This window comes from Homo sapiens, chromosome 17 (assembly GCF_000001405.40).
Source record: "Homo sapiens chromosome 17, GRCh38.p14 Primary Assembly".
NCBI lineage: Eukaryota > Metazoa > Chordata > Mammalia > Primates > Hominidae > Homo > Homo sapiens.
In genome coordinates, this window is record NC_000017.11 from 62,340,159 (window position 1) to 62,356,323 (window position 16,165).

General features: G+C 37.7%; 1 long non-coding RNA gene across 1 annotated transcript; it reads left to right on the forward strand.

Moving 5' to 3' along the window:
• Positions 1 to 3,881: 3,881 nt before the first annotated feature.
• Positions 3,882 to 13,840, forward strand: LOC105371936 (uncharacterized). The gene is made up of 4 exons (XR_934899.1): positions 3,882 to 3,978; positions 10,516 to 10,620; positions 12,775 to 12,828; positions 13,744 to 13,840. It is a non-coding gene; the product is annotated as an uncharacterized LOC105371936 (long non-coding RNA).
• Positions 13,841 to 16,165: the final 2,325 nt, after the last annotated feature.

The window sequence follows — 16,165 nt, forward strand, 5'->3', positions numbered from 1 at the left end:
AAACTCTGCCAGTTTCTGGTAAGCATTTACATGTGTTCTCCTTCACTGATGTCCAAAAATATATTCATTCAGCACTTACTGAAGATCATTTTCTGTGTGGCACTATCTAAAACCTGAGAGAACAGGGACCATGTCTGATTCCCCAAGTCCTTACACTCTTGAAAATTTCAAAGAGGTTGGTTTTAAGGTTTTGTATTAGAAATTCTAATATTTGAAACAGTTGTTCAATTAAAAATATTTTTTAAAAGGCTCAGTCCTAGCATTTCTAAAAATCCTGTTATTATTATATTGGTTTAGGAAACATGAACCTCTTCAGTCAGAAGTCCTATCATAAGGCAATTTCTTTTGTCCCCCCTAGGAAAAAGATAAGACTTAAGGTATAAACTGAAAAAAAGTAAGAGCAGAAGGGGTAGAAAAGGTGAAGAAAGAAAAGATGAAGGTAAATTAGAGAGGAGAAAACAAGAAAAGAAAGGCTATGTGTAGTTCAGCACGGTAGGGCACCACTAACAATAGTTTGTATTCTATCCAGTGGATAGGTTCACTACACTGAGTTTTCCAAATACCTTTCATTTCATTGAGATTAAATTGTAATAAATTTCTAAATTTTCCCTTCCTGTAAGTATATATTTTAATTTTTATGAATCTCTGAAAGCATTATTAATCATGTTTTATCCTACAGCTGATAAAAAGGTGTTTAAGAAAGAATTATTGGATGGTGTGAAATCCTTCAGAGGTAAGTGAGGAAAAGGATAAGGACAATAATATTTGATATTGTTCTAATTGGTTTTTTCTGATTACATAAATAAGCAGAAAATTATGCATTTTATTCAACAAATATTCAAGTGTCTACTAGATGCTGGGTATTTGAGAATAATCTGGAATATATATAGTAGCATACAGAAAAAATGTAATTACCCACAATTTCAAGTAATATTACCTTTTCTATTACAGATATCTTTGATCTTTTTCCTGTGCATATATGTGTATTATTAATTAAACTCTTACTAGAAATGTTACGTATCCTGCATTTAATCCTAAAATTTTAGTGTAATAATTTCACCATGTTATTTAAAATTTCTTTGTAAACATCATTTTAATTACTATATCATCTGGTTGTATTATAATTTACTTAATCATTGTTCTCTTGTTGAACATTTATTTAGTGTTTTTCTCTTATGTGTCTCTGATCTTCATACATAAATCTTGATCCAACTTTAAAGTCATTTTCTTTGGATATATTCTTCCAGCAGGAATTTGCACCTCCATACATAGTATTACCGTCATGCCCTAAACACAGTATATTATTTTTATATTTTTTATTCTTGTTCATTTGATGGATGAAAAAATTGAATTAATTTGATGAAAATATTGAATCTAATTATTGTTCTGATTTTTTTGTTATCGATAAAGTTGAAAATATTTTTATATTGGTGATATGTAGCTGTGGTCCCAGCTACTCAGGAGGCTGAGGCAGGGGGATCACTTGAGCCCAGGAGTTTGAGGCTGCAGTGAGACTGGATGGCAGAGCCAGACCCTGTCTCAAAAAATATATTAAAATAAAAACAATTTTTAAATCGGCTTTATATTGTTGTGTTAGTCCATTTTCATGCTGCTGATAAAGACATATCTGAGACTGGGCAATTTAGAAAAGAAAGAGGTTTAATGGATTTACAGTTCCATATGGCTGGGGAGGCCTCACAATCATGGCGGAAGGCAAGGAGGAGCAAGTCACACCTTACATGGATGGTGGCAGGCAAAGAGAGAGAGCTTGTGCAAGGAAACTCCCCGTTATAAAACCATCAGGTCTTGTGAGTCTTATTCACTATCACAAGAACAGCATGAGAAAGACCTGCCCGCATGATTCATTACCTCCCACCGGGTCCTTCCCACAACACATGGGAATTCAAGATGAGATTTGAGTGGGGATACAGCCAAACCATATCAATTGTTTTATATTTAAATCACAGAATTCTCACAAGGATAGTGGTTGTTTTCTCTTTAATGGAAAAAGAAAGCTTATTTTGAGGATTTTTTCATTCATCAAACATTAGACTGGCATAGTGTGGGGAGTGTGGTGGGGGAGGGGCTACAAAAAGCAGAAGATAGTTCTTTAATTTCTTTTTTTGTTGTTTTTTTTTTTTTTTTTTTTTGAGATGGAGTTTCACTCTTGTTGCCCAGGCTGGAGTACAATGGCACAATCTCAGCTCACTGCAACCTCCATCTCCTGGGTTCAAGCGATTCTCCTGCCTCAGCCTCCCAAGTAGCTGGGATTACAGGCATGTGCCACCACACCCAGCTAATTTTGTATTTTTAGTAGAGACGGGGTTTCTCCATGTTGGTCAGGCTGGTCTTGAACTCCCGACCTCAGGTGATCCATCCACCTCAGCCTCCCAAAGTGCTGGGATTACAGGTGTGAGCCACCATGCCCGGCTGGTAGTTCTTACTTTCAAAGAGTTTATAATCTACTTAGAGAACAAAATATATACATAAAATCACTCATAGAAAATTTTGATCAGCACCATAAGACAGGGCAAGAAAAAAATTTAAGCTGGGCGTGGTGGCTCACACCTGTAATCCCAGCACTTTGGGAGGCCACTGTGGGTGGATCACGAGGTCAGGAGTTCGAGAGCAGCCTGGCCAACAAGGTGAAACCCCATCTCTACTAAAAATACAAAAATTAGCCGGGCATGGTGGTGCCCACCTGTAGTCCCAGCTATTCGGGAGACTGAGGCAGGAGAATCGTTTGAACCCAGGAGGCGGAGGTTGCAGTGAGCCAAGATCACGGCACTGCACTACAGCTTGGGTGACAAAGCGAGACTTCGTCTCAAAAAAAAAAAAATTTAAAAATTTTTAAAAATTTTAAAAACATAAATGAAAAAGGAAAAAATTTTTCAAAAAGAAAATGTTTTTATATCATTACATCTTTTAATCTATTGAAGTCCAAACATTGTTTCTATTAATATGAATGACCTCTTTATAGATTAAATATTAGCACATTGTCATACCTATTGTAAATATTTTCTGAATTCGTTATCGGCTTTTTATTTTATTGTATTTTTACAACAGCTTTATTGAGATATAGTTCATATACCATACAATTAACCTACTTAAAGTGTATAATTCAATGGGTTTTAGTATACTAACAGAGTTGTGCAGTATCACCACAATCAGCTTTAGAATATTTCAGCACTGCAAAAAGAAACTCAATACCCATTAGCAGTCACTACTTATACCCCCCAACTCTCGCAGACCTAGGCAACTACAAATCTACTTTTTATCCATTATGTTGTATTTTGATATATGGCCATTTTTCATGTTTATGTATTTAATTTTATCAGTCATTTCTTCTGTGATTGACTTTTAAGTCCTTTATAAGCTAGCCAGTGTGTGAAGAATCACATATATTTAGTTTTCTTTGTTTTTCTATTATTTCACTTTTTACATTTAATTATTTATCTGAAATATATATTGACTCTTTATTGACTCTTTTTAAATCCCCATGTTTCAGAATGATTTGATCAAAACTACACCAATAGTTTTCAGTAATTTTCCCCATTAACTGGAGTCCTCCTTTATGTACAATTACACTTGGGAGATAATTTATTATTACTGTAGCAAATTTCAAATCTTACTTTTTGACAGAATAACATGATTTGGTTGTTATCTCTAATTCATCAGAAATGCCAAACTCTTTACTTCTCCTCCCAGTATAAACTTCTTCCAGAAGTTTAATTTTGGAAGCATATTCTGTTCCTGACGCCCACATGACTTGCTGTAAATAGCTTCTTTCTGCTTTCATTTCTGAGTAGGGGTTGAGAGTATGCATTTTTCATTTTATGACATCCTTATCTACTTTTTCTTGTTTCTATGAAGGAGGGCAGGTTAATGTCAATGACCTAACAAGTGTTCTACAAAACACTGGGTTCAGACTCGAAGCAAAAGAAATCAACGACCTGAAGACTCACATGCCAGTGACTGGTGAGCATTTAAGACACCTTTATCCTGTAGATAATGACTAGTCTACTGTGAAAGCAAAGAGTAAAGACATGTTGGAGAGAGAAAAACTGGGGACAGAGATACAATTTAAGATACTGTTAATAAGGTACAGGTGATAAGGGCCTTACCTGGGAACCACACATACATGGGGAAGACTGATTTGATGTGGTGGGTGAAAGGGAGGGAGATACTAAAGTGTGCACCAGAAGTTTATCACTTATGTGACTGCCAAAAAACCATTTTTAAGAACAGGGAGAAGGATAGCAGAGGAAGCAGAATGAAGAAAAATCTTTGAAATATAGTTGAATTGAGGTACTTATAGGACACTCAGTATCAGACAATTGAAAATGCATTCCCTAATTATTAGTTATTCATCTTTAAACAAGGTACATCAAACCGTGAGAATCATCACCAGGGTTAAAACAGTGTCTCAGAGTGTCTCTATGAGGACAAGAATACCAAAAGAATGGAAAGATAGAATAAAGAAATATTTGAGAGATAAAAAATGGAATAAAAGAGTAGGATAAGGAAGAAAGAGATTACAGAAAGAGATGAGGGGAGGGTAAGAGAAAATAAAAAGTATAAGAAGAGATGAAAAGATATATCCATCAGGATACAGACCAATCTCCTATTTTTGAATTTTTATATATTTTTTTATTATTTCAATAGCTTTGGGGGAACAGGTGGTATTTGGTTACATGGATAAGTTATTTAGTGGTAATTTCTGAGATTTTAGTGCACCCATTACCCGAGCAATGTACACTGCACCCAATGTGTAGCCTTATCCCTCACCCCACTTCTAACCTTCCCCTTGAGTCCCCAGAGTCCATTATATCGTTTGTATGCCTTTGCATCCTTATAGCTTAGCTCCCACTTATAAATGAGAACATACAATGTTCATTTTTCCATTCCTGAGTTACTTCACTTAGAATAATGGTCTCCAACTCCATCCAAGTTGCTGTGAATGCCATTATTTCATCCTTTTTATGGCAGAGTAGTATTCCATGGTATATATATGTACCACATTGTCTTTATCCACTCATTGGTCGATGGGCATTTAAGCTGGTTCCATATTTTTGCAATTGCAAATTGTGCTGCTATAAACATGCATGTTCATGTGTCTTTTTCATATAATGACTTCTTTTCCTCTGGGTAGATACCCAGTAGTGGGATTGCTAGATCAAATGGTAGATCTACTTTTAGTTCTTTAAGGAGTTTCCATACTGTTTTCCATAGTGGTTATACTAGTTTACATTCCCACCAGCAGTGTAAAAGTGTTCCCTTTTTACCACATCCACACCAACATCTATTATTTTTTGATTTTTTAATTATGGCCATTCTTGCAGGAGTAAGGTGGTACCACATTGGGGTTTTGATTTGCATTTCCCTGATCATTAGTGATGTTGAGCATTTTTCATACATTTGTTGGCTGTTTGTATGTCTTCTTTTGAAAATTGTCTATTCATGTCCTTTGCCCACTTGTTGATGGGATTTGTTTTTTCTTGCTGATTTGTTTGAGTTCCCTGTAGATTGTGGATATTTGTCCTTTGTTGGATGTATAGTTTGCAAAGATTTTCTCCCACTCTGTGAGTTGTCTGTTTACTCTGCTGATTATTTCTCTTGCTGTGCAGAAGCTTTTTAATTAAGTCACATCTATTTATCTTTCTTTTCATTGCATTTGTTTTTGAGTTCTTGGCCATAACATCTTTCCCTAAGCCAATGTCTAGAAGAGTTTTTCTGATGTCATCTTCCAGAATTTTTATGGATTTGGGTCTTAGATTTAAGTCTTTGATTCATCTTGAGTTGATTTTTGAATAAGGTGAGAGATAAGGGCCCAGTTTCATTCTCCCACGTGTAGCTTGCCAATTTTTACAGCACCATTTGTTGAATAGGGTGTCCTTTCCCCACTTCATGTTTTTTGTTTTTTTGTTTTATTTTGGTTTTTTTGTAGATATGGGGTTTCACCATGTTGGCCAGGCTCCTGGCCTCAAGTGATCTGCCCACCTTGGCCTCCCAAAGTGCTGGGATTATAGGCGTGAGCCACCATGCCTGACCTGTTTACGTTTTTGTTTGTTTTATTGAAGATCTGTTGGCTGTAAGTATTTGGCTTTTTTCTGGGTTCTCTATTCTGTTCCGTGCCTATTTTTATACCAGTACTATGCTGTTTTGGTGACTATGGCCTTATAGTATAGTTTGAAATCAGGTAATGTGATGCCTCCAGATTTGTTATTTTTGCTTAGTCTTGCTTTGGCTATGTGGACTCATTTTTTGTTCCATATGAATTTTAGAATTGTTTTTTCTAGTTCTGTGAAGAATGATGGTGGTATTTTGATGGGAATTCCATTGAATTTGTAGATTGCTTTTGGCAATGTGGTCATTTTCACAATATTGAATGTACCCATCCATGAGCATGGGATGTGTTTCCATTTGTTTGTGTTGTCTATAATTTCTTTCAGCAGTGTTTTGTAGTTTTCCTTGTAGAGTTCTTTCACCTCCTTGGTTAGGTATATTCCTAAGTATTTTTTTTTTTTGCAGCTATTGTAAAAGAGGTTGAGTTCTTAATTTGATTCTCAGCTTGGTTACTGTTGGTATACAGGAGAGCTACTGATTTATGTACATTAATTTTGCATCTGGAAACTGCTGAATTATTTTATCAGTTCTAGCAGCTTTCTGGGGGAGTCTTCAGGGTTTTCTAGGTAGACAATCATGTCATCAGCAAACAGCAACAGTTTAACTTCCTTCTTATCAATTTGGATGCCCTTTATTTCTTTCTCTTGTCTGATTGCTCTGGCTAGGACTTGCATTACTATGTTGAACAGAAGTGGTGTGAATGGGCATCCTTATCTTGTTTCAGTTATCAGAGGGAATGCTTTCAACTTTTCCCCATTTAGTATTATGTTGGCTGCAGGTTTGTCATAGATGGCTTTTATTACATTGAGGTATGTCCCTTGTATGCCAATTTTGCTGAGAGTTTTAACCATAAAGGGATGCTGGATTTTGTCAAATGCTTTTTCTGCATCTATTAAGATGAGGATGTGATTTTTGTTTTTAATTCTGTTTATGTGGTGTACCACATTTACTGACTTGCATATGTTAAACCATCACTGCATCCCTGGTATGAAATTCACCTGATCATAGTGGATTATCTTTTTGATATGTTGTTGGATTCGGTTAGCTAGTATAGTATTTTGTTAAAGATTTTTGCATCTATGTTCATCAGGGATACTGGTCTGTAGTTTTCTTATTTGGTTATGTCTTTTCCTGGTTTTTGTATTAGGGTGATACCGGCTTCATAGAATGATTTAGGGAGGAATCCCTCTTTATCTTGTGGAATGGTGTCAATAGGATTGGTACCAATTCTTCTTTGAATTTCTGATAGAATTCAGCTGTGAATCCATCTGGTCCTGGACTTTATTTTCTTGGCAATTTTTTATTATCATTTCAATCTTGCTGCTTGTTACTGGTCTGTTTAGAGTTTCTGTTTCTTTCTGGCTTAATCTAAGAGGGTTGTGTATTTCCAGAAATTTATCCATCTCCTTTAGGTTTTCTAGTTTATTCATGTAAAGGTGTTCATAGTAGCCTTGAATGATCTTTTGTATTTCTGTAGTATCAGTTGTAATATCTCCTATTTTGTTTCTAATTGAGCTTATTTGGATCTTCCCTCTTCTTTTCTTGGTTAATCTTACTAATGGTCTATCGATTTTATTTATCTTTTCAAAGAACCAGCTTTTTGTTTCGTAATTCTTTTGTATTTTTTTGTTTCAATTTCATTTAGTTCTGCTCTGATCTTGGTTATTTCTTTTCTTCTGCTGGGTTAGGGTTTGGTTTGTTCTTGTTTCTCTAGTTCCTTGAAGTGTGTCCTTAGATTGTCTATTTGTGCTCCTTCAGACTTTTTGATGTAGGCATTTAAGGCTATGAACCTTCCTGTTAGCACTGCCTTTTCTGTATCCCAGAGCTTTTGATAGGTTGTATCACTATTATCATTCAGCTCAAAGAATTTTTTAATTTCCATCTTGATTACATTGTTAGCCCAACAATCATTCAGGAACAAGTTATTTAATTTCCATGTATGTGTATCAAACCCCTTTTAGAGTTTATTTCCAATTTTATTCCACTGTGGTGTGAGAGAGTACTTGGCTACTATTTCAGTTTCCTTAAATTTGTTGAGACTTGTTTTATGCCCTATCATATGTTCAACTTGGAGAATGTTCCATATGCTGATGAATAGAATGTATATTCTGCAGTTGTTGGATAGAATGTTCTGTAAATATCTGTTAAGTCCATTTGTTCTAGGATACAGTTTAAACCCGTTGTTTCTTTGTTGACTTTCTGTCTTGATGACCTGTCTACTGCTATCAGTGGAGTATTGAAGTCCCCCATTATTACTGTGTTGCTGTCTGTCTCATTTCTTAGGTCTATTAGTAATTGTTTTATAAATTTGGGAACTTCAGTGTTAGGTGCATATATATTTAGGATTGTGATATTTTCCTGGACAAGTCCTTTTATCATTATATAATGCCCCTCTTTGCCTTTTTTAACTGCTGTTGCTTTAAAGTTTGTTTAGTGTGATACAAGCATAGCTACTCCTGCTCTGTTTTGGCGTCCATTTGCATGGAATATCTTTTTCCACCCCTTATCTTAAGTTTATGTGAGTCCTTATGTGTTAAGTGAGTCTCCTGAAGGCAGCAGATACTTGTTTGATGAATTCTTAGCCATTCTGTATCTTTTAAGTGGAGCATTTAGGTCATTTACATTCAACATTAGTGTTGAGATGTGTGGTACTATTCTGTTCATCGTGCTGCTTTTGCCTGAATATCGTGTGTGGTTTTGTTTGTTTGTTTGTCTGTTTGTTTTTATTGTGTCATTGTTTTATAGGTCCTGTGAGATTTATGCTTTAAGGAGGTTCTATTTTGGTGTATATTTTGGTGTATTTTGAGGATTTGTTTCAAGATTTAGAGCTCCTTTTAGCAGTTCTTGTAGTGCTGGCTTGGTAGTGATGAATTCTCAAAGCATTTGTTTGTCTGAAAAAGACTGTATCTTTCCTTTATTTATGGAGCTTAATTTCACTGGATACAAAATTATTGGCTGATAGTATACTTTAAGGAGGCTAAAGATAGGGCCCCAATTCCTTCTAGCTCATAGGTTTCTGCTGAGAAATCTGCTGTTAATCTGATAGGCTTTCCTTTATAGGTCACCTGGTGGTTTTTGCCTCACAGCTCTTAAGATTCTTTCCTTCATCCTAACTTTGGATAACCTGATGACTGTGTGCCTAGGTGATGACCTTTTTGCAATAAATTTCCCAGGTGTTCTTTGAGCTTCTTGTATTTGAATGTCTGGATCTCTAGCAAGTTCAGGGAAGTTTTCCTCAATTATTCCCTCACTTGAACCCAGGAGTTCAAGAGCAGCCTGGGCAACTTAGGGAGACCCCATCTCTTCAAAAAATAAGAAAAAATTAGCTGGCCTGCTGGTATGCATTTGTGGCCCCAGCTACTTGGGAGGCTGAGGTGGGAGGATCACTTGAGCCCAGGAGGTCGAGGCTGCAGGGAGCCAGGATCATGCCACTGCACTCCAGCATGGGCGACAGAAAAAAATCCTATCTTAAAAAGAAAAAGAAATTCTGGGCCAGGCGCCATGGCTCATGCCTGTAATCCCAGCACTTTGGGAGGCCAAGGTGGGCGGATCATCTGAGGTCGGGAGTTCAAGGCCAGCCTGACCAACATGGAGCAACCCCATCTTTACTAAAACACAAAAATTAGCCGGGCATGGTGGCACATGCCTGTAATCCCAGCTACTTGGGAGGCTGAGGCAGGAGAATCATTTGAACCTGGGAGGCAGAGGTTGCAGTGAGCCAAGATCGCGCCATTGCACTCCAGCTTGGGCAACAAGAGCGAAACTCCATCTCAAAAAAAAAAAAGAAAAGAAAAGAAAAAGAAATTCTGCTTTCATTTAGGTTTGTTATCTTTACCACAATTTATCAAATTTGTCTAATTCTTTTTCATCCATATTACTTCAATTGAAAATTATAGCTCAATGTTGAGGGAGCATTTTCTCTTCTCAACTCTGACACTGAGTGGCCAATATATTATTTCATTCTCCACTTGATATAAATGCATATTTAAAGTTAGCATCTTCTGGGCCGGGTGCAGTGGCTCACACCTATAATCCCAAAACTTTGGGAGGCCGAGGCAGACAGATCACCTGAGGTCAGGAGTTTGAGACCAGCCTGGCCAACATGGTGAAACCCCATCTCTACTAAAAATACAAAAATTAGCTGAGCGTGGTGGCACACACCTGTAATCCCAGCTATCTGGGAGGCTGAGGCAGGAGAATCACTTGAACCCAGGAGGCAGAGGTTGCAGTGAGCTGAGATCATGCCATTCCAACCTGGGCAACAAGAGTGAAACTCCATCTCAAAAATAGTAATAATAATAATAATAATAATAATAATAATAATAAAGCTGGCATCTTCCACTTCTTCAAATTACTTGTTTTTCTTATTCCATCCTCTTAATTCCTAAGGAAAAAAAGTCAATGTCAGTAATCTGGAAACTCTTCTAAATAATATAGAAATCGAAGTTGGGAAAGAGGAATATGAGGACCTACTGAACCATCTGCCAGTTGATGGTAAGTGTTTCAGATACCACTGTACCTAGGAGAAACGCAGGGCTTCTGTAGGAAGGCTTCTGAAAGTAAACCTATTTTTTAACCTCTTTGAAAAGCTTATGAAATATTTCAAACATACCTAAAAACAGAGAATAACATAACAAACATTGTGTGCCCACTGGCCAGAGTTAACAAATGCTACTATTTTGCCATACTTGCTTCATACATTCTCCTACCTCCCTCCCTGTTTCCTTCCCTCCCTCCCTTAATTCCTTCCCAAGTAAACCTTTTTATAATAAGACAAAGTTTTATTAATAACTCAGTAAGACCGTTTTAACTAGACAAAACTGTCGGAGGCAAAGCTAGAATAATTCATTAGGAAGAAATTGCTAAGGAATGAGCCCCTGGCTAAGATTTCCTTATTAGATGGCTCTTCCCCTTCAAAAACAAGCTTCCATCAGACAGCCAGACAGCACATCTTTCAGTAGAGCCAGCACATGCCAACCCAAAATAAATAATTTTTCTCCCCTAATTCAGGGTTTCTGTTCTCAACTAGCAATGGGCAGGTGTAACTAAAGTAGGCCACTGCTATCAGCAGACATCTTCCATGCTACCTTCACCTGTAGCTGGCCCTAATATAGAAAACAGTTTTGGCCTAATTTGTAGTTTTTTGTTTTGTTTTGTTGAGACCGAGTCTTGCTCTGTCACCCAGGCTGGAGTGCAGTGGCGTAGTCTCGGCTCACTGCAACCTCCACCTCCCGGGTTCAAGCAAGTCTCATGCCTCAATTTCCCAAGTAGCTGGGATTACGGGCATGCACTACCACACCCAGCTAATTTTTGTGGGTTCGTTTTTGTTTGTTTGTTTTTTCTTTTGTTTTTGACATGAAGTCTCCCTCTGTCGCCTAGGCTGGAGTGCAGTGGTGCGATCTCAGCTCACTGCAACCTCCGCCTCCCAGCTTCAAGCAATTCTCCTGCCTCAGCCTCCCGAGTAGCTGGGATTACAGGCACCCGCCACCACGCACGGCTAATTTTTTGTATTTAAAAATACAAATAATTATTTGTATTGTTTATAATAATTACAATACAATATAATATTGTGCTGTTTCACCTTGTTGGCCAGGCTGGTCTCCAACTCCTGACCTCAAGTGATCCACCTGCCTCGGCCTCCCAAAATGCTGGGATTACAGGCATGAGCCACCTCACCCAACCTAATTTTTGTATTTTTAATAGAAGCAAGGTTTCCCCATGTTGGCCAGGCTGGTCTCAAACTCCTGACCTCAAGTGATCTGCATGCCTTGCCCTCCCAAAGTGCTGGGATTACAGGCATGAGCCACCCTGCCCAGCCGTAATTTGTAGTTTAAAACCTCACGCTCCCTAGGCTTAACAACATTGATAATTATCCATAATTTTGTCTGGCCCTTCCTCCTATCCTGAAAAAAGTCACCATAAATTACTTTTTAATTGTAATGTTGTCCCTACATGTTTAGCTAGGGGGTCCTCAAAAATGCTTCCTGCTGGAAAATATTGTTACTGATGAGGTATTTTTTAGAATTCTTTATTTTTTTTAATGACAATTTTTTTTCTCATCCAATAGTGTGACTATTTCCATACCACTGAATTTTTTCATTTGTTTAGCTAGCACATACTATATGCAAAATAATGAACTAGAGAGTGGAAAATTTAAACCCAGTAGTATAATAAAATTAAGGCATAATTTCTGCACTCAAGTAGATTACAGTCTTGATGGGTAGAGGTGGGAACATAAGCAAAATTTGGAGATTAAGAAGATAGCATTCCTTCAAGGTTTAAAGGTTCACTGTTTATGTACATAAGTGACTTCTAGGTTTCAAATTCAATCATGTCTATTAAAATATGCTCCCCTTATGGGTCCGAAGGAAGAGAAAAGCCTATAGAAGGGATTACTGTTAAACTTGCTTCATCTCAATGTTGAGTCATTTGATGCTTTATAGAAAGTGGTATTAATGAAGTAGGTGTTCACTTTAAACTTACGGCTTGATCTTTTTCTACCCTCTGTTTCTTCTTCACTTTGAGTTAAAAGAGTTACTAGAGAAAATTAGGAGAAATAGCTGAATTCCAACCTTTATATTACAACTTAAATTTTCATGTCAGTTGTCTAAGATTTGGTCTCTATGTCTGACTTGTCTCGTCTCACAGAAAATGAAATGGTTGATGTGAATGTGGTGATGGATGAAGCAAAAGCTTTTACAGGTGAGTCAGAAGTCATGGTGAGAAGGGCATTCATTTTTAACTAAGACCTTAATGCTCTATAGAGAAAAAAATGTAAATGTTTTTAAACAGTAGATTTTGGCTGGGCATGTGGGCTCACGGCTGTAAACCCAGAACTTTGAGAGGCTGAGGCAGGAGGATCACTTGAGACCAGGAGTTCAAGACCAGCCTGAGGCAACAAAGCAATACCATGTCTCTACAAAAAAAAAAAATTAGGCGGACATGGTGGCATGTGCCTGTAGTCCCAACTACTTGGGAGGCTGAGGCAGCTGAGCCCAGGAGTTTTAGGCTGCAGTGAGCTATGATTACCACTGCACTCCTGCCTGGGAGACAGAGCAAAAACCTGTCTCATAAAAAATATATTTAAATAGCAGTTTTCTCTTCAGACTATTACTAACATGCTAAATTGACACCCCTACAAATGTAACGGTTAAATGTTTGTTTCATAATCTTACTCTTTGATTTGGGATTTTTCCTGTAGAGACTTATATTATGTAGAGGTTTGTTTGTTTTTTGTTTGTTTGTTTGTTTTTTTCTGAAACGGAGTCTCACTCTTGTTGCCCAGGCTAGAGTGCAATGGCACGATCTTGGCTCACTGCAACCTCCACCTCCCGGGTTCAAGCGATTCTCCTGCCTCAGCCTCCCGAGTAGCTGGGATTACAGGTGTGTGCCACCACACCCGGCTAATTTTTGTATTTTTAGTAGAGATGGGGTTTCACCATGTTGGCCAGGCTGGTCTTGAACTCCTGACCTCAGGTGATCCACCCACTTCGGCTTCCCAGAGTGTGGGATTACAGGCGTGAGCCACTGCACCTGGCCGGTAATTTTTTTCATAATTTGAAATCATTATTCTCGTCCTAAAATTCTTATATGTTAACAATTCCCATCTTTCCAAAGGAGAAAAAGTTAATGTCAGTAATCTGGGGAATGAGCTGAGGAAAATGGGGCTCGTACTCACTGATGAGGAGCACGAGAAGCTGCTGAAAACTCTGCCAATTCGCAGTGAGTATTTACCACATCCTTTGAGACTTGGATTTAGGGGCTTGTGTGTGAAAACTTCTTAAATTATACATGTATATGCCCAGTAAACCTCCTCTAGAAAACACAGTTATCACACTAAAAGACATCTTGGCCAGACGCGGTGGCTCTCAGCACTTTGGGAGGCCGAGGTGGGTGGATCAAGAGGTCAGGAGTTCGAGAACAGCCTGGCCAACATGGTGAAACCCTGTCTCTACTAAAAATACAAAAATTAGCCAGGCATGGTGGCATATGCCTGTAATCCCAGCTACACAGGAGGCTGAGGCAGGAGAATTGCTTGAACCTGGGAGATGGAGGTTGCAGTGAGCCAAGATCATGCCACTGCACTTCAGCCTGGGCGACAGAGCAAGACTCCGTCTCTCAAAAAAAAAAAAAAAAATCTTGTTGCCTGTTTTTGTTGCTTATATTTTAATACCGAAAGCTAGCAACATCTTTCACCGGGGGTGTCCCACCATCCGGGCTATATTATCCTGTCCCCCTGGGAGCACTGCCTAATCTTATCATGACCGATGAGAAGGAAACCAGGGAAGAAAGAAAAGGAAGGAAAAAGACAGAAATAGGGAAATACTGTATTTTATTCAACCAGTGGATAGATTTATAACAGGGAAAGTGTTCTTTATCTTTGGTTTCATTCTTAAATGTAACAGAGAAGAAACTTCCAAGCAAATTGAAAGGGGTTTTTTTCCCTGAAATTATGGATGTTGTGTTGTCTTTGTGCTGATTTTTTAGTCTTCCCATCATTTAACCCATATTCTGAATTGTGTCTTATCTTACAACTAGTGGAAAGGTATATAAGAATAGATTGCTCAAAGGTGTGAAGGCCCTCAACGGTGAGTAGGAAGCATGGTGGAAGAGCAAGTAAAAAAATTCCTATGTTTGGTATTTTCTTTTAAATGTTCCAACTTCGCTTCCTGCCAATTTACTGATTCATTGTTAGGACATAACTTACCATTCTTCTTTGGATGCATTGGCCTTTTGGGATATAAGTTAAAAAATCATATCACTATAGGAAGTAAATTAGTTGTTGTTTCAACCATAAGTCATTAGACTTGCCTGCTCCTTTCTATTGACCTCTCAGGGAAAACCAAAGCAGAACCCCCTAGATCAATATTAAGAGAAATACCCTATCTTTCCATACTAACACTGTGTAAGTAATTATTATTTCAATTGTTAATTAGAAAAAGATGTTTTAGAACACTAAAATAATACAAGAAAACTATGCAACTCTAACCACTTTAAAAAAAAAAACTGATACAGTCTGGCACAGTGGCTCATGCCTGTAATCTCAGCACTTTGGGAGACCAAGGCAGGCAGATCGCTTGAGGCCAGGATTTTAAGACCAGACTGGACAACATAGTGGGACCTCATCTCTACAAAAAATTTTAAAATTAGCTGGGCATGGTGACACATACCTATAGTACTACCTACTTAGGAGGCTGAGGCAGAAGGATTGCTTGAGCCCAGGAGTTCAAGGCTGCAGTTCCATCCTGGGCTACAGAGCAAAACTCTGTTTTTAAAAGAAAAAAAGAAATGTAAGTTCTCCTATCTTCCACAAATCCCCTCCCCATAAAGGTAAATACTGTTAACAATTCAGCAGTTATCTTTCTCAATTCTTTCCAACTTTTAACTGACATATCTAAATCTAAGGAAATACGCACACAGTCTGAGGAGATACACACACACACACACACATGTTAATAATTTCTTTGTATTCTTGTACTTTACCCTCCAACTGGGGTTTCTGATGCATGACCACGATTAACATTTTTCACTCTTAAACAATAACACTCATATTCTTATTCCATGCCCTTCTTTCTTAAGGGCCAAGGGTCAAAACAAAAAAGGTGGAGATTTTTTTGGAAAACATGGGAACTAAAATCAAGGATGAGGAACTTGAGGAACTCATTACCCAACTACCAACTGAGGGTGAGTATTACAAATATCTCTATCCTCTTCAGAAAAACCTTAAGCCCTTCCATTAGAACTGCTGAAATTAGCCTTTTTAGCATCATAATGAAGTAAATGTAAAAACTTAATTCTGACTCTTGATGAAATACCATCTTCAAAAATGCTTTTGAAAAGATATGTCAGGTATGCCACTTGAAGCCTCAGTCATGCCTGGGAATGCCACACACTTAAGGAGCTGAAAGAAAAATGAATTGAAGAGAACATTTAAGAGAAAAATTAAGAAACCTGAAAGTCAAATGATAAATTAGAAATGAATAGTTGCAAGCCAAAGAGCTAATATCCCTAAGGTAGCAAAAGCCCTTGTACATTGATA